Source organism: Homo sapiens, unplaced genomic scaffold (assembly GCF_000001405.40).
Source record: "Homo sapiens unplaced genomic scaffold, GRCh38.p14 Primary Assembly HSCHRUN_RANDOM_CTG17".
Taxonomy (NCBI): Eukaryota; Metazoa; Chordata; class Mammalia; order Primates; family Hominidae; genus Homo; species Homo sapiens.
In genome coordinates, this window is record NT_187497.1 from 1 (window position 1) to 19,494 (window position 19,494).

The window sequence follows — 19,494 nt, forward strand, 5'->3', positions numbered from 1 at the left end:
GTCTCTAATAAAAATACAAAAAAATTAGCCAGGCGTGGGGGAGGGCTCCTGTAATCCCAGCTACTTAGGAGGCGGAGGCAGAGAATTGCTTGAACCTCGGAGGCAGAGATTTCAGTGAGCCGAGATTGTGCCACTGTGCTCCAGCCTGGACAACACAGTGAAACTCAGTCTCAAAATAAATAAATAAAAGTAAATAAAGTGTAGATTCAGTTTTCAGATGCGTATCTTTTTTTTGTCTAGATAATGTTTAACATATTCTCACATGACACATTTGCTGATAACAAGTTTCCTCAATTATTGTTTGTCCAAGGAATGTTTTATTTCTCATTTACTTTTGAAAGAAGATCTCACAGGGCACTTAAATCTAAGTTCATTTTTTTTTTCTCTCAGCATGCTTAATATTTCATTCCACTCTCTTTTTACTTTCATGGTTCTGAGATGTTGAATGCAATGCTTTTTTTATTTTTTTTTTTTTGAGACAGAGTCTTGCTCTGTCACCCAGGCTGGAGTGCAGTGGTGTAATCTCAGCTCACTGCAAGCTCTGCCTCCCGGATTCACACCATTCTCCTGCCTCAGCCTCTGGAGTAGTTAGGACTACAGGCTTCTGCCACCATGCCTGGCTAATTTTTTGTATTTTTAGTGGAGACGGGGTTTCACCATGTTAGCCAGGATGGTCTCGATCTCCTGACCTTGTGATCCACCCACCTTGGCCTCCCACAGTACTGGGATTAGAGGCATGAGCCACCAAGCCCGGCCTGAATGTGATTTTTGTTTGTCTGTAGGTTTCTTTGTTTCTCTTTCTTTGTTTCTTTGTTTCTCTATAGGTAGGATGTTGTCCACTCCACCTTTGCTCTGTTGGAGCTGCTGTTTTGTACAGTTGGAGAATAACATGCCTAGCTGTAGGTTTTTAGCATGTGTCCTGTCTGGTGCACTCTGAGCTTCCGATCTTTGATTTTGTGTCTGACATTAACAGTGGAAGTTGTCAGACATGACTGTTGCAGATGTTTCTTCTACTTCTCTCTCTTCTCCTTCTAGTATTCTCATCACTCTATGTTACACCTTTTCTAGCTGTCCTACAGTTCTTGGATATTATGTTCCATTGTTTTCAGTTTTTAAAGTTTCTTTCAATGTTTCCAGAGCTCAGAGACTCTTTCCTTTGTTGTGTTCAGTCTACTAGTAAGCCAATCAAAGACATTCTTCAGGTCTGTTGCAGTATTTTTTTATCTCTACTGTTTCTTTTTTGTTCTTTCCTTGGACTTCTGTCTCTCTGCTTACATTGCCTATCTGTTCTTGAATGCTGTCTCCTTTGTTCATCAGAGCCCTTAGCATACTACTCAGAGATATTTTTAAAAATCCCTGTCTGATAATTCCAGCATCATAGCTGTGTCTTGTTCTGATGATCTGTCACTTCAAATTGTGTTTTTTGCCTTTTAGTATGCCTTGTGCTTTTTCTTTATTCCTAGATATGGGATACCAGGTAAAAGGAACTACTGTAACAGTGCATCCTGTAATGATGGGAAGCTCTGGAGGGGAGGGGAAGCTGTCTTAGTCCATCCACCAGCATAACTTAGAGCAAGTAATTTGTAAACAACAGAAATTTGTTGTTCAGTTTGGAGGCTATAAAGTCCAAAGTCAAGGTTCCAAGAGATTCAGTGTTTGATGAGACCCATTCCTCATAGATGGTGCAAGCTATATGTCCTCTCATGTTGGAATGGACAAAGAAGCTTCCTTTGGCCTCTTTCATAAGTGCACTAATCCCAATCAGGATGACTTTGCCATTACCTTTCAAAGGCCCCACCCCTTAATTCTAGTGCATTGGAGACTTGGTTTCAACAGGCACATTTTGCAGGGTGTCGAGCAGGGAACAAATGTTCAGACCATAGCAGAAGTGTTCTGGACTCTTACGATTGGGCCTCATTGTTTAAGTGAGTCTCTGCTTTTGGACTATGAACTTCACATGTCTTTCTCTGTTTTTGTCTTCCCCTTTAGGGATGACTGGAGTAGGCTGGAGTTGGGTACTTCCCTTCCAGAAGGTCATTTAGGATCTGATTATATGAGAGCAAGTTAGGCTGAGGTTCAGTAATTTCTCCTGAGGACAAGTCTTGTTAAGAACAGGGTGCTCTGGCATATTTTAAGATGGTTTTCCTTTTTCCTTCCCAAAGTTGGAAGCAGGAAGCCAGTTTTCTCAGGTATTTGCCACAGGAGCCTGGTGAAGCTCCAGGAGGTAAATTTTACAATATTATGCTCCTTCATAACTGGATATCCCTGGCGTTTTTACCTCCTTGAGTTCTCCATAATGGAACCTTCAGCAATTCACCAGTTATAGTTCAAGATTTTCTACTCCAGCACTGGTTCCTAAGGTGGTTTCAGTAGTGAGTCTCTGTTCATGTAAGCCATAAATTCCTATATTCACTTCTCTATCTCTCCAATCTTGGGGGCAGTGGCTTGCCCTATGTCCTCTCTTCACATTCAAATCCAAAAAGGATTGTAGATTTTTCAGTCTCTTCAGCTTTTATTTGTTTTATTAAAAAAATTTTTTAAGAGTTGGGGGTCTCACTATGTTGCCCAGGCTGGTCTCAAACTCCTAGACTCAAGGGATCCTCCTGCTTTGGCCTCCCAAAGTGCTAGGATTATAGGCATGAGCCACCACACCTGATCTTTTCAGCTTTTCATGTGTTGTTAAGATGGACTGATTACTTGCATTCTTTTTTTTTTTTCCTTTTTTTGAGATGGAGTCTCACTTTGTTGCTCAGGCTGGAGTGCAGTGGTGCAATCTCAACTCACTGCAATATCTGGCTCCCAGGTTCAAGTGATTCTCCCTGCCTCAGCCTCCTGAGTATCTGGGATTACAGGCACCCACCACCATGCTGGCTAACTTTTATATTATTATTATTTTATTTTTTAATTTTTTGAGGCAGAGCTCACTCTGTCATCCAGGCTGTAGTGCAGTGGCTTGATCTTGGCTCACTGCAACCTCCAACTCCCAGGTTCAAGCAATTCTTCTGCCTCAGCCTCCCAAGTAGCTGGTACTACTGGCAAACACAACCACACTTTTCTAATTTTTGTATTTATAGTAGAGATGGGGTTTTGCTATGTTGGCCAGGTGGGTCTCAAACTCCTGACTTCAGGTGATCCACCCAACTCAAGCTTCCAAAGTGCTGGGGTTACAGGTGTGAGCCTCCATGCCCAGACCTAATTTTTTTATTTTTAGTAGAGATGGGGGTTTGCCATGTTGACCAGGCTGGTCTTGAACTTCTGACTTCAGGTTATCTGCCCACCTTGGTCTCCCAAAGTGCTGGGATTACAGGCATGAGCCACTGCACCTGGCCACTTCTAAGCTTCTTACATGCAGAAATCAGAACCTGGAATCTGTTTCTATGACTTTTCTTCTTAATGCCTATGTGGACAATTAAAGGATTTTTCTTCTCAGGACTCTGAATATGATGAATTGTATTAGTAGACTTTCTAATATTGAGCTGTTCTTAATTTGTGAAATAAACTCAGAAAGTTCCTTCTTGGTCTTAACAGTTTATTTCTCTTTGTAAATATTAGGGATTCTGTGGATTCTGTACTTGTTCCTTTTTATCCTTTCATTCTCTTAGGTTCATTTGGTCTGATGGATTCAGGTACCATTGAAATTCTGATAGTTTCAAAATCTTTATCTCCAGCTTTGATATCTCTTGTGAACTCTGGAATTGTATTCCCAATTGCCAGTTGGACATCCCTACATATGGGACCTCAGATATTTCAAACATGATGTGTCCAAGTCTGTATCACTTCTGGCCATCCTATTGTTCTTTTATTTTTCCAAATTTCACATCACCAGTAACAAACTCACTGTGATCATGGCAGATAGCCTGGAAATAAAACTCCCCTTTTTACCCTCTGCACAGCAAACTGACATCAAATCCTGTTTCTACTTTTTTTCCTTTTAACTATTGCTTCCCTATTCTGTATTCTCACTGCTCCATCTTCTGATGTAGGAGGTCATCTGTCTTCCTCTTTTCCTCTCCTCTGACTCTTAAGCCCTTTCCTATTCTCTTTCTCATGAATGGCTGTTAAAATGCCAATATGGTCATGTAACTTTCTTGTACTTAATGAACCTCCTTATTTACACCATGTTTGTGAAGTGGCTGTATTCACCCTGGGTAGACACAGAATGTTTTTGGCATGTACAAAGAGAATTTTATGCTGCCTGTGTAGAGCTATTAATTTGTAAGTACACTCACCTTTTTGTATCTGTACTTTTAATATCTGTGTATGTAAACAAACTTGGATGCAAAATATTTGAAATAAAATCAGACGCTTGCATCTGTAGTGAACATATTCAGACTTTTTCTTGTCATTACTTCCTAAACAACACAACTATTTACATCCACATTGTATTTGGTCTTCTAAGTGTGAAAGGAAAATAAAGATTGGGACTCCAAACTCATTAAGCTAAAGGGAAAAATCAAGCTGGGAACTCACTCATGAAAACCTGCCTCCTCCTTTTGGTTCCTAAATAAGATGGCTACAAGATAAAAAGCTTTTTATCTTGTAGCCCCCCACTCATATTTTTCCCACAAGGAAATTTCTGGTGTACTTTAAGATCTTTAAAGTGTTTCTGTTAAAATTCATCATGGCAATGTAAATTCATAGCTTATCCTTTTTATTGTTTTTTTTGAGATGGAGTTTCACTATTGTCACCCAGGCTGGAGTGCAATGGCACAATCTCGGCTCACCGCAACCTCTGCCTCCCAGGTTCAAGTGATTCTCCTGCCTCAGCCTCCTGAGTAGCTGGGATTACAGGCATGCACCACCACACTTGGCTAATTTTGTATTTTTAGTAGAGATGGTGTTTCTCCATGTTGGTCAGGGTGGTCTCAAACTCCTGACCTCAGGTGATCCAGCCACCTCAGCCTCTTAGAGTGCTGGGATTACAGATGTGAGCTGCTGTGCCTGGTCTGATAGCTCATCTTTACAGTGCATAGGACAGAACTCAGAGTCATCCCTCTGCCCACCTGACACAAATGCATATCTGATTGTTCCCCTCCCTGTTTGTCTATGTTATGTATAAATGCAGATTCACTGAGACAAAGGCATGAATGACTGTATCAGTCTGTTCTCATACTGCTCTGAAGAAATACTCAAGACTGGGTCATTTATAAAGGAAAGAGGTTTAATTGACTCACAGCTCTGCATGACTGGGGAGGCCTCAGGAAACTTACAATAATGGCAGAGAGCACCTCTTCACGGGGGGCAGGAGAGACATTGAGTGCAAGCAGGGGAAAGGCCAGACACTTACAAAACCATCAGATCTCATGTGACTCATTATCATGAGAACAGCATAGAGGAAACTGCTTTGATGATCCAATTACTTCCACCCGGCCCCACCCTTGACACATGGGGATTATTACAATTTATGGTGAAATTTGGGTGGGGACACAGAGCCAAACCATATCAATGAATGTTTTCCCCCTACCCCAGTCTTACATGAAAACTGTATTTCTCAGTGTTTCACCCTTTCCCCTTTAAATTTGGAGCCCTCATAATCATTTTTAAAGAAAGGCATAGACTTGTCTCCTGGGTGTGCATCCTTAATGTTGGCAAATAAACCTCTTAAAATGATTGAGATTTGTCTCGGTCATGTTTCCTGATTGACCGAAGTGTTCCAGAGATGATATAAAGTACACTCATGCATGGCTTAATGACATGTGTATGTTCTGAGACATGCATTACTAAGCAACATTTTTGTTTTGTGAACATCATAAAGTGTGCTTACATAATCCTAGATGGTATATATGTTTATATTTTTTCTTATGAGAAATCATATGTTCTAACACCATCATTGAATATCAGTCACTTTCCCTACTTGATCTGCAGTGCTAGTATCAAGTCCCACATATCAAGTTTTATCAGGGGAACCAGCCCCCAATATTTCAACGTAGGTTCTTTCTATTTTCCTTAAGTGTTGGCTGGTCTGAGAAATAAAGGGTAAAAAGAAAGAAATTTTACAGCTTGGCCTCTGGGGGTGCCATCACATTGGACCATGATGGCGACCTTGAGCTGCAAAACCAGCCAGTTTTTATTAGGGATTTTGAAAGGGGAAGGGGTGTATGAACAGGGAGTAGGTCATAAGGATCACATGCTTCAAAGGGCCATAAAGATCACAAGGTGAAGGCAAAATTAGAACCACTGATGAGGGTCTGTGTCCCACTGTGCACACATTGTCTTGATAAACATCTTAACAGAAAACAAGGTTCAAGAGCAGAGACCAGTCTGACTAGAATTCACCAGGCTGGAATTTCCCAATCCTAGCAAGCCTGAGGGTACTGCAGGAGACCAGGGTGTATTTCAGTCCTTATTTCAACTGCATAAGACAGACACTCCCAGAGCAGCCGTCTATAGACCTAACCCTGGGAATGCATTCCTTTCCCAGGGTATTAATTATTAATATTACTTACTGGGAAAAGAATTCAGTGATATTCTCTTACTCACACGTCCATCTATAGGCTCTGTGCAAGAAGAAAAATATGGCTGTATTCTGTCTGACCCCGCAGGCCGTCAGACCTTATGGTTATCTTCCCTCATTCCCTGAAAATTGCTGTTATTTTGTTCTTTTTCAGGGTGCACTGATTTCATATTGTTCAAACAACCATGTTTTACAATCAGATTTGATATTGTTTGAACACACATTTTACAAACAATTTGTACAGTTAATGCAATCATCACACGGTCTTGAGGTGACATACATCCTCAGCTTACGAAGGTGATGGGATTAGATTAAAGTAAGACAGGGATAAGAAATCATAAAAGTATTAATTATAAAAGTATTAATAAATGTCCATGAAATCTTCCCAATTTATATTCTTCTGCCATGGTTCCCGCCAGTCCCTCCATTCGGGGTCTCTGACTTCCTGCAAGAAGGTTTCTATATGTGTTTATAATCTTAGGGGGCCATGGTAATATACATGGTTCATTATTGATTAAAAGGTCATTATGAGGCACATGACTGCATGTGGAAGGATAAGCATGGGTTATATGCAAATATACCATTGTATATAAGAATTGAGCTTCAGTGGTTTTTGGTATCTGTGGGTGTATTTTGGAGCTGATTTCCCATGGATACTGAGGAACAACTGTACTTTGAAAATGAAAGGTGCATACATTTTTGTCATTAAAATTAGGTCAAATATTTAAATGCAGAATCATTGTATAATCAGTTCCTTCAAGACTGCATCTGTCTGTCTCATCAAGGCCCAGGATGGTTTATCTAGATACATTGCAGTATGTCATTCCATTAACATGGTGTGTCTTCTTTGTGTCCTTGGGAATGGACTTCTGCTACACGTCATAGTTGTGAGATGGTGTGGTTCACATGGAAGTGCTAAACAACTTTGGTTTTTCAGTGAAGTGCAACCTCATAATACTGTTCATCACCAAGCCTGGCTAGTTTTTCTATTTTTTGTAAAGACAGGGTTTCACCATGTTGCTCAGTCTGGTCTTGAACTCATGAGCCCAAGTGATCCACCTGCCTCAACCTCCCAAAGTGCTGTAATTACAGGCATGAGCCACTGTTCCTGTCCTAACAAACCATTTGAACTACAGGTGAAGCGAAGTCTCTCTCTCTGATATTTGGTCTTCTATTTACAGCTCCTAAAATATCTAAATGTGCCCTCCCTCTCAGGGCACACAGCCCAATCCTATTTTCTCCCATATGATAGGAAAGAAAGAATCACATAACAAATGCCTAGTGATCTTCATTGTGAAGAGCACACGGTCAAAACATTTTTTAAAATCCTATTTCGAAGTCCAATTATGCAAAGAATTAATAAATAATGACACAAATTGATGAAAGAGTAGCTATCTTACTGAGTCCAGTGTAAGAACACAAATGGAATTCATAATGAGCCACAAAGGCATCTGAGTCCAGATCAAAATCTCAAAGTCTTGAGAAAAGGCCCAACTGGGAGCAAATTATGAAATCTGCATGAGTCTCTTAAGGACGATTTAGGGAAGGCTTGGCCTTTGGTCGTTATTATGAGACTGATATGGTTTGGCTGTGTCCTCATCCAAATCTCGAATTGTTGTTCCCATAATTCCCACGTATTGTGGGAAGGACCTAGTGAGAAGTAATTGAATCATGAGGACTGTTCTGTTCTTATGATAGTGAATAAGTCTCATGAGATCTGATGGTTGTATGGAGGGAAGTTCCCCTGCCCATGCTCTCTCTTGTCTGCTGCTGTGTATGACCTGACCTTTGCCTTCTGCCATGATTGTGAGGTCTCCCCAGCAACGTGGCACTGTGAGTCCATTAAACTTATTTTTCTTTATAAATCACCCAGGCTTGGGCATGTCCATATTAGCAGCATGAGAACAGACTAATACGGAGACTTATTATGAGTTTGACAGGAAGGTGCAGAAACAGAGTTCTGGAGTCAGATTATGGGTGACAGCCACATAATCTTTTTTATTCAAGAAAATTGAAAGATTTTATATATGAGTGGAACTTAGCTTCTGTTCAGTGTTGATGTGGGAAAAAGTGAGGTTAGATTTGTGAGCAGGAGCTGAATCATTAAAAGTCTTCAAGTCCTTGCTAAAGAGTGAGAACCTAAGTTTTAAGCTGTTGTTAAGTGCTTTTAAGTCCTTGAGGAACACAGTTACCTGTCTAGAGATGTTAGTCTGGAAGTGAACAAGATAACGGGAAGTAAGAGGAGTGCAGTCTGATGGAAACATGATGGAAAATGGAAATATTTCAGGTGAGAGAGAGTGAGGGTTTCACTGAGTCATAAAGTTGTGGAGAGGAAGCAGTGAGTAGAAGAATACTTGAGAAGTAGAATTAATAAAACTTTGTGACAGAACAGGTGATGGTTCTGGGAGAGAACTATATCTGGAACAGTGGATCTCAGAGTGCTCCATGAAAATAAGACTCTTTCTATCATAATACAGCTATGTTACTTGTCTTTTTCGCTTGTTTTTGTTCTCTGCTTTGGTGCAAATGCAGTAGTAAGTAAAACCGTAGCACAAAACAAGACAGTGGCTCCAAACAATAGTAGCAGTTCTATTATTTACAGTCACGTGGTTGCCTCAATAAGTAAACATGCCAATTTTATTTTCATGTTACTTAAGAATATCATTGATGAAGCAGTAAAAAATAAAATTTTCATTCAATCTAGATCCCCAAGTATGTCTTTTCAGTATTCTATTTGATAAAATGGTAAGAACTCATAGAGCACTTATTACTTAAAAATGAACTAAGTGTGACAGGGTGCAGTGGCTCACGCCTGTAATCCCAGCACTTTTGGAGCTCAAGAGTTTGCGACCATTTGGAGCAACATGGTGAAACCAAATCTCTACAAAAAAAATTAGCCAGGGGTGATGATGTAAGCCTGTAGTCTACTGTAGGGATGAGCCCTACAGGGTCTGTGGGTTTTCTTCACCTTGTGCAGAGATGAGAGATCGTAGAAATAAAGACACAAGACAAAGAGATAGAAGAAAAGACAGTTGGGCCCGGGAGACCACTACCACCAAGATGTGGAGACTGGTAGTGGCCCCGAATGCCTGGCCGCACTGTTGTTTATTGGATACAAGGCAAGGGGGCAGGGTAAGGAGTGTGAGCCATCTCCAATGATAGGTAAGGTTACGTGAGTCTCGTGTCCACCAGTCGGGGGACCTTCCTTGTTTGGCAGCCGAGGCGGAGAGAGAGAGAGGACAGCTTACATCATTATTTCTACTATGCATTTCAAAGACTTTTAGTACTTTCACTAATTCCGCTACTGCTATCTAGAAGGCCGAGCCAGGTGCAGAGGGCGGAATATGAAAGCAGACCAGGAGCCTGACCGCTGAAGCACAGCATCACAGGGAGACAGGCCTCCGGGTAGCTGCGGGCGAGCTTGACTGATGTCGCCTTCCACAAGAGGTGGTGGAGCAGAGTCTTCTCTAACTACCCCGGGGAAAGGGAGACTCGCTTTCCCGGTCTGCTAAGTAACCGGTGACGTCCCAGGCGCTGGAGTTACCGCTAGACCAGGGAGCCCTCTGGTGGCCGTGTCTGGTCGCGACAGAGGGCTCGTAATCTTGTCTTCTGGTCACTTCTCACAATGTCCCTTCAGCTCCTATCTCTGTATGGCCTGGTTTTTCCTAGGTTATAGTTGTAGAACAGAGATTATTATAATATTGGAATAAAGAGTAATACTGCAAACTAATGATTATTAATATTCACATATCATCATCTATATTCTATTTCTAGTACAAGTATTCTTCTATATATTTTCTTTATTACACTGGAACAGCTCATACCCTCAGTCTCTTGCCTTGGCACCTGGGTGGCTTGCTGCCCAGAGTCTACTACTGGAGAGGCTGAGGAGGGAGGATCATTTGGCCCTGGGAGGCAGAGGTTGCAGTGAGCTATGATTGCACCACTGCTCTCCAGCCTGGGTAACAGAGCAAGACCTTCTCTGAAAAAAAAAAAAAAAAGTGATATTGTCTTAAAAAAAAAACTGAGCTGTTACTGAAAATGTAAAAAGTTTTCAAGTGAAAATTAAAATTTGGAAAACGTATCTGCATTCTGGAACATGATAATTTTTCAAAACTTATGGATTTTTCTAAGGAGATCAAGGGTAATATTACTGAATTTCAAAATATTTTATAATAAAGTGTATCAATATTTGGAACATCTGCATTATTTGATGAACCAATATTTTCCCAATGGCCATGCCAATATGATAAAAATCATGATTTGTAAAAGACCCATTAACATTGAAAATAGACCTATAGGTTTTAATGTGATATAGAAGAAAAAGCATATGATGTGGTGTCATGCCTCCCATTGCAATAACCTGAATAAAGCATTTGTTTGGAGATCAAAGAAGAAGAACAATATTTGGCCAAAAATACTTATTTTTTTTTTTTGTGGGCGGATGGAGTTTCACTCTGTCACCAAGCTGGACACAATCTTGGCTCACTGCAACCTCCACCTCCTGGGTTCAAGCAATTCTCCTGCCTCTGCCTCCCAAATAGCTGGGATTACAGGCACTCACCACCACGTTGGCTAATTTTTGTATTTTTAGTAGAGACGGGGTTTCACCGTGTTGGCCAGGCTGGTCTCGAACTCCTGATCTCAAGTGATCCGCCTGCCTCAGCCACTGAAAGTGCTGGGATTACAGGCGTGTGCCACCACACCTCGTCCAAAAATTATTTTAAATTATTCTTCCTTTCTACAACTTCATGTCTGTGTGGGGCACTATTTTCTTCACACACTTAGCCAAAACAACATATTGGAACAGATTGAATTGAGAAGCAGATATGAGTATCAATCTGTCTTCAGTTAAGCCAAACATTTTGCAAAAATGTAAAAACATTGCAACTCTTCAAACTATTTGAGGACTTGTTTTATTTTAAAATACTATTTTGTTAGCATGAACTGAATTTATTATTTTTAAGCATATTACGAATTTTTTTTTGAAGTGGAATCTTGCTCTGTCTCCAGGCTGGAGTGCAGTGGCGCGATCTTGCCTCACACAACCTCCACCTCATGGTTTCAAGCGATTCTCCGGCCTCAGCCTCCCGAGTAGCTGGGACTACAGGGGCCCACCACCATGCCCACCTGTTTTTTTTTGTTTTTTTTGCATTTTTAGTGCAGATGGGGTTTCACCCTGTTGGCCAGGATGGTCTTGATCTCTTGACCTTGTGATCCACCTGCCTCGGCCTCCCCAAGTGCTGAGATTACAGATGTGAGCCACTGCACCCGGCCAATATTTACTAATTTAGAAGTCCTAATTTATGATAATCATTAATAGAAATAATACATAGGAATAAAGTTGGGTGAGAGAGAAAGGTTTGGAAGTTGTCAATTTTTTTTCTTTTAACTTATTTAAAATTCAAGTGTCATGTCTACAAAGTGGCTGCAAAACTCATAGAGACCTTATTCCTCCACACTCCTTTAGTTTCATTTTTTCCTTCTATCATAGGGTTTATCACTATTATTTTTAATCTTGTCATCCCAACTAAATTATGAGGTCCTGCAGGAAAGAAAGTTATGTGCTTTATTTTTGACTTATTTGTACTTAGCACCATGAATTGCTTAGGGATTTTTCTTTAAAATAAAAATTAAATAACATCAGGCCAGGCGTGGGGGCTCACGCCTGTAATCCCAGCACTTTGGGAGGCTGAGATGGGCAGATTACCTGAGGTCAGGAGAGCGAGAACAGCCTGGCCAACATTGCGAAACCCCGTCTCTACTGAAAATACCAAATTAGCCGGGCGCGGTGGCACTTGCCTGTAATCCCAGCTACTCAAGACACTAAGACAGGAGAATCGCTTAAACGTGGGAGGCAGAGTGTGGAGTGAGCTGAGATCGTGCCACTGCAATCCAGCCTGGGTAACAGAGCAAGACTCCATCTCAAAAATAAATAAATAAATAAACAAAAACATCGGTTAGCAATGTTGTCATTTAGACATATTTAGGCATTAATTCTATCACTTACCAGACCTTAATATTTTAAATTGTTGATCATGGAATTTGTTGATTTGAACCTGAAAAACCTTAATTATTTTCAAGTAGTTTTTCCTTCAATTAAATTATATTAACTTTATATTTATTTGAAATAATTTATTTTCATGTTTTTATTAAACTTTCATCAATGTTTTGTGCTTTTATAACCATGTGAAATATTTATTTGTTTTTGAAATATTGATTTTAAAAACAATGCAATTAGTTGATATTTATTATTGAAAAGTACTAGAATTTCACAATCTTAATAAATATTGATAATTGTTGTCATTTAGAAAAATAATACTGGTGTAGGAATGAAGAGAGAAGAAGGAGTAAGAAAGGCGATTGCTCTTTATTTTGAGTATTTTCTTTTCTTTTTTTTCTTTTTAGTAAAAATGGGGTCTTGCTATGTTGACTACGCTGGCCTCGAACTCCTGGCCTCAAGCCTTTGCTTCTCAAAGCACTGGGTTTACAGATATGAGCCACTGTGCCCAACCTGATAATTATTTTTATGTCATGTTGACAGGATTTAGACTAATAAAACATTTCTATTTTGTTTTTTTATTTCAGATTCAGGGGTACATGTGCAGATTTGTTACAAGGGTATATAGCATGGTGCTTAAGTTTGGGCTTCTATTGATCTCATCAACGGGATAGCGAACATAATAACTAATAGGAAGCTTCTCAGGTCTTGCCCCATTCCCTCCTCCCTCCTTTGGAGTCGCTAGTGTCTATTGATCCCATGTTTACGTCTGTGTGTACCCAAGATTGCATTCCCACTTATAAATGAGAACCTGCGATATTTGGTTTTCTGTTTCTGCATTAAGTTGCTTGGGATGATGGGCTTCAGATGCATCCATGTTGCTGCAAAGAACATTATTTCATTATTTTTTATGGCTGCATAGTATTCCATGGTGTGCACATGCCACGTTTTCTTTGTCCTATTCATCATTGATGTGCACCTGGGTTGATTGCATGTCTTTGCTATTGTGAACATATTAGAGTATGTGTTTTGGGGTAGAATAATTATAATTTATTTTCTTTTGGGTATACACCCAGTAATGGGATTGCTGGGTCTAATGATAGTTCTGTTTTTTGAGAAATCTTCAAACCACTTTCCACAGTGGCTGAACTAATTTGCATTCCTACCAAGAGTGTATAGGCATTCCCTTTGCTTTGTAGCCTTGCAAAAATCCGTGGTTATTATTATTATTATTATTTATTTGAGATGGAGTTTCACTCTTATTGCCCAGGCTGGAGTGCAATGGCACGATCTCAGCTCACCGCAACCTCCTTCTCCCGGGTTCAAGCGATTATCCTGCCTCAGCCTCCCGAGTAGCTGGGATTACAGACATGCACCACCATGCCCAGCTAATTTTTTGTATTTTTAGTAGAGACGGGGTTTCATCATGTTGGCCAGGATGGTCTCGAACTCCTGACTTCAGGCTATCCACCCGCCTCAGCCTCCCACAGTGCTGGGATTACAGGCATGAGCCACTGCATGCGGCCAAGATGTTTTTTAAAAGTAGAATTTTATACTCCTCATTAATACATTTCCTTCCTGGCATCTCTTTGATTTCTTAGGGCACACACTGAGGCGGATGGCATCTCACTGTTAATCAAGAATAAAAAGCCTTAAATTATGCCAGAAACCACTATAGCAATGTCTGTGTCAAGAGGCTGTCTGAATATCTAAATGTACATTTCACAGTACAGCAAACACTTTTTTTGAACTACATTATCTGTCAGATTGCCTAAGGCACTGAAATAGAAAACTCCTAGTGCTTGCTGTATTTTGCTAGCTTATACATTAGTTTCTTTTGTTGATTTTTGCTATGAGAGGACCAAAAAGATAGAAACCACAGTATCTGTTTTAATATTTTTTTTTGAGACAGGGTGACACTCTATCACCCAGGCTGGTGCAATCACAACTCACTGCAGCCTCAACTTCCTGTGCTGAAGTGATCCTCCCACCTTAACCTCCTAAGTACCTGAGACCACAGGCATGTGACACCACACCTGGTGTATTTTAGTATTTTCTTGTACACAGAGGGTTTTTCCATGTTTCCCAGGGTGATCTCAAACTCCTGGGCTCAAAGGATCCTCCTGCCTCAGCTTCCCAATGTGCAGTGATTACAGGAATGAACCACCATGCCTGGCCTTAATATTCTTTTCTATTTGTAAATGGAAAGCTTCAGAAAAGACCCTCAAACAGGACTATAAATGTTTTCACAATACTGTTTTGTACAGCCAGATATTAACAGTATATATAATGTAACTCAGGGGTCCCCACCCCTGGGCCATGGACAGGTATGTGTCCGTGGCCTCTGAGGAACCGGGCTGCACATCAGGAGGTGAGTGGTGGCTGAGCAAGCATTATGACCTGAGCTCCGTCTCCTATCAGATCAGCTGCAGCATTCGATTCTCATAGGAGTACGAGCCCCAATGTGGACTCCACATGTGAGAGATCTAGGTTGCATGCACTTATGAGAATCTAATGCCTGATGATTGGAAGTGGAAGAATTTCATCCTGAAACTATCCTCCCTGCCATCTGTGGAAAAATTGTCTTCCATGAAACCCATTTCTGGTGCCAAAAAAGGCTAGGGACCACTGATGTAACATATACCAGTATATCACATTTATTCTTACCTGTTGACATATATCCTGAAATTAGCTGTGGACAAGCTGTGGGAGTTATGTGTGAAAATAGCTTAGCAATTTAGACTCCCAGGACAATTCCACACTTCACTAAGCAAATGATGGCTATTCTTAACTGACAACATCATCACCAGCTGTCTCTTACTAACCCTAACAGTATAATAGAATACACGGTAGGAGCCCAGCCGAATGTCTTCCTCCAGCCCCACATCCAATGGCTGGCATGTGCACCCTCTTACCTAAGGTTGTGTATCCCCTTCTCTGCAGCTACAGCCCACTTGGCCTGGGTTCCATTCCCCACCGCAGAAAAGCCTTCTACTACTGACTGGACTGGAGAATACATGCCTCAGTTCCGTTGTTCCTTGGCTGTGTAACTCTGAGGTCCATGTTCGACGTGGCTCCCCAGAGTTCTGTCATGGGAGTAAGCACCAGTCATCTGCAGTGTAACTCACTTGGCAACACATCCTTATTTTGTCTTCTTCCTGTTCCCTGTCCCATTCTGTCCCTCCTTGACCAATGCTTCCAGTCTCCTTGGGATCATGTCCCAAATAAACCATGTGCACTGAAATCTTTGTCTTAAATTCTGCTCCTGGGGGAACCCACACTAAGACATGGTGAATCTTCCATATTAAGGAGGAACTGGTGCCTGTTGAAAATGAATTGTTGTGTTTGTTGGAGAAAAATTCATCTGTTACGCTGGAAGCAAACAAATCCCACAAGAATACTGTATTGCCAATATTGTCCGTGTCTCCAGCTGAGCAGTTAAGGAGAGCTGCACTGATGCTAGAAGTTGCCAACACCTGTGAATGGCTCTGGAGGCTTCTTGTGGACCTCCATCTTGGAGGAGGTGGCAAATGCTTAGTAGTCTCCCAGGAGTCAACATGCCGGCACTCACACTGATCTCCATATCATTGTGGAGAGTCAATGTCAAGACCTTCTGCCCTTCAAAGCTATCACATTGTATGTGCCTTAGACGCCACTTGCCAGAAGCAAGCCAGGTTTACCTTTGGACACCAACAGCATTCTTTCCATTCATTCATCCTCCTGACTTATCAGACCCTGCTATGAATGACTTGATTGTTCTTCAACTTCCAATTTACCCTCAAAATTTGAAGATTTTCTACCCGCTCAAAATAATTGATTTTGCCTTTTTGGAAAGCAGCCCACAAAGAGATTTTTTGAATAAATAAAAATTGATCCATGTTTACGAAGCGTGTATTTGGATATGTCCGTTGGACATATCTATCATTTGTTGACATACCTATCACACTGTCTGGAATGACACCTCAGTTTTTTCCCTTTTCTTTCAAAGTAGGCCTTTGGGAATCACATTTACTTTTATATAGAAACATGATTTTTTCCTCTCAAGAGCTTGTCTTTTGTATTTAGCAAAAAAAAAAGCCTTCTCCGTTCTGTAGAGAAAATCCCCAAATTGTGCAAAACCTCTGGAGAAAGCACTGAGCCCAAGAAATCAGCATTCCAAGAAAAAGACTCTGCACACAGCATCTGCATTTTTGTGCTGAACTGTTAAATGCAGATGTAGTGAAATTCATAGCTTTTTCAAAATGTACAATATAGTGAGTGGGTGTTGCCAATACATTATAATTACCCTGGACTTGTGTGAGGTGGATCCTTTGGATGAGAATTGGCTTTCTCAGATGAAGGGAATCTTGTCTGTGAATGAAGAAGACAAGGAGGAACAGAGTATTCTTGGGAGAGGCTGCCCTGGTTTTCATGATATCAGTGATCCTTTAACCCAAAAGCCCACAGATGTTCTCCCTAATTAACCACAGAAAGTATAATTATTTACCACCCCCCAAGAATCTGAGTTCTTCTTCAGAAACCAAGATTGAGAGGAATTACTCCCAGAACCAGTGTGCAGTATACACCTTTGAACCCTTTGAGCTCTTTGCTTTCTTTTGCAGCTTGTTTTTTCCTGCCTGTTTTTCCTGTCTTCTTTCAGGCTAAGCCTCCCTCCTTTTGGTAGAGGTTTTTTTATACCATTTGGAAACTGGTTTGGATAAGCTACCTTAATGAAGGACCACAAGTCTCTCCAGAGATGATAAAAGACTTTTTGTCTTTTCTGGTAAGTCCTTTCTGGAATAAAGATCAGTGTCTTTCTGGATTACTCTTGGTTTCTACAGATTTTACATTCTGTCTGTGAGGCATATATTCTAGTGAATTTACTTTCAAATTGGTCTGAATGCCTAGTTTAATATTTTGATCTACATGTCTAGGTTAAAATTTTTGTGAACAATCTTATCTTGGTTTCTTTTGATTTTGTTTGACTCTTTATCCTTGTTTCTGAAATTCTCCCAAATGCAAAAGTAAACATTCTAAATGGTGGGTCAGGATGGCTAACTAAAAGCTGCCAGGGCAGTTGTCACCCTTTAAAACACTGGCCTAAACCCCGGAAATTCCATGACAGGATTTATAGGATTTTCTCTACTCTTGAAAGATTAATGAAAAACAGAATGGTTGTTAGGTGCGGTGCCTCACGCCTCTAATCCCAGCACTTTGGGAGGCCAAGGTGGGTGAATCACGAGGTCAAGAGATCAAGACCATCCTGGCCAACATGGTGAAACCTCGTCTATATTAAAATACAAAAAAAAAAAATAGCCAGGCGTGGTGGCATGTGCCTGTAGTCCCAGCTACTCAGGAGGCTGAGGCAGGAGAATAGCTTGAACCTGAGAAGTGGAGGTTGCAGTGAGCCGAGATTGTGCCACTGCATGAGAGTCTGTCGACAGGGCAAGACTCCATCTAAAAAAAAAAACAAAAAACAAAACAGAATCGCATTCTCAAACATTAAGGCATGCTAGGTTTTCTGGGACTCCAGCTGGTTATATATTATGGCTCATATTTTTACCTTGCTGGGAAAATTACATCAAGGAAAATTCAGATCTCCAATAGTCATTATTTGAAAAACCTGCAATTATAGAGTTAACATGTCGAGTTTTCTAAGTTCTCTGTATACCTCTCTCGGTTCTTCTTCTGCCCATTCACTGTTTATGGAATTCTGGCCTGTGCCCCAAATCTTAAAGAGTATTCAACTTAATGGTTTTATAAATTACAACAGCTTCATGATATCAACAAGTGAGATAATCTTTGAAATATAAATTTAATTCCAAAATACCGTGGGTTAAGAAAAAAGTAAGAAATATAAATTTAGGTTTACCTGACTTACAATTGTGTGCAACAACAGAATACTTAATTAGAAGTTAATGTAAGAGAAAAATAACTAGATAAATATTTATGAAATTAGGCTCTCAGATCAAGCAGGTCAAAATCTTGACCGTACAGCAATAACCTAAGGTATGTCTAGCACAAAAATTTTGCTGTTTCTGCACACAAAAGCAAAAAATAAAAACTATAAATAATTTAAAACCGCTAAAAATCTTTCTTGTCCACACTTGCTAGTCAAGCAAATCACACTGGCAAAGAGAAAATAGATTTGCTTCTAATTCAAGGTTACATGGATATTTTATTTTTCTTATACAATTTATCCAGTCCCAGCTTAAATGTAAATATTGAAAATATAACCCTAAACTCATTTGAAACTTAAGAAAAGGTGAAAAAAGTTTTTTAAAAAATCAAACTGCCATGGAAACTGCTTTACCCAAACTGTGGTTCACAACACTTATTAGATTATCTTTTGCGGCAAATAAATTTTAGCCATGTTTTACATTTTGCCAAAAAATATATAAAACTGTCTTTTATAAACTGGTGGATTAGTATTACTATCTCATGACTAAAAGCCTAAAATAAAAAAACATAAGATCTGTTATTTGTGTGTGTATATGTGGTCAGATGTGTTTATGTATATACACATGTATTTTGTTATATGTTTTGCCTACATGGTAAAATCTGGTGTAGTGAGCCAGAAATCCCTTAAGAAAGTCTATTTAGATAAATGACCTTATGAAATATACAAAAATTAACCTAAATGCTTTTTAATTCATGTGACTTAATTAAATCTGTGATAAATAAACTATTCTAAAATTAGTGGTAAAATAAAAATAGAAATATCTTCAAAATGGTCCGTGTACATTTTACCAGGGTTTACTGGTCAGATGGTTTTATATTTTTTTCTTCTGGAAATCTGTTATTATGTGGGCAGCAAGCCACCCAGGTGCGAGGCAAGAGACCGAGGGCAAGAGCTGTTCCAGTGTAATAAAGAAAATATATAAAATAAGAATAGTTATACTAGATATAAATCATAGATATGATTATATATGAATATCATTAATCATTAGTTTGTAGCAATTACTCTTTATTCCAATATTATAATAATCCTTGCTCTACAATAAAAACCTAGGAAAATCCAGACCATACAGAGATGGGAGCTGAGGGGACATAGTGAGAA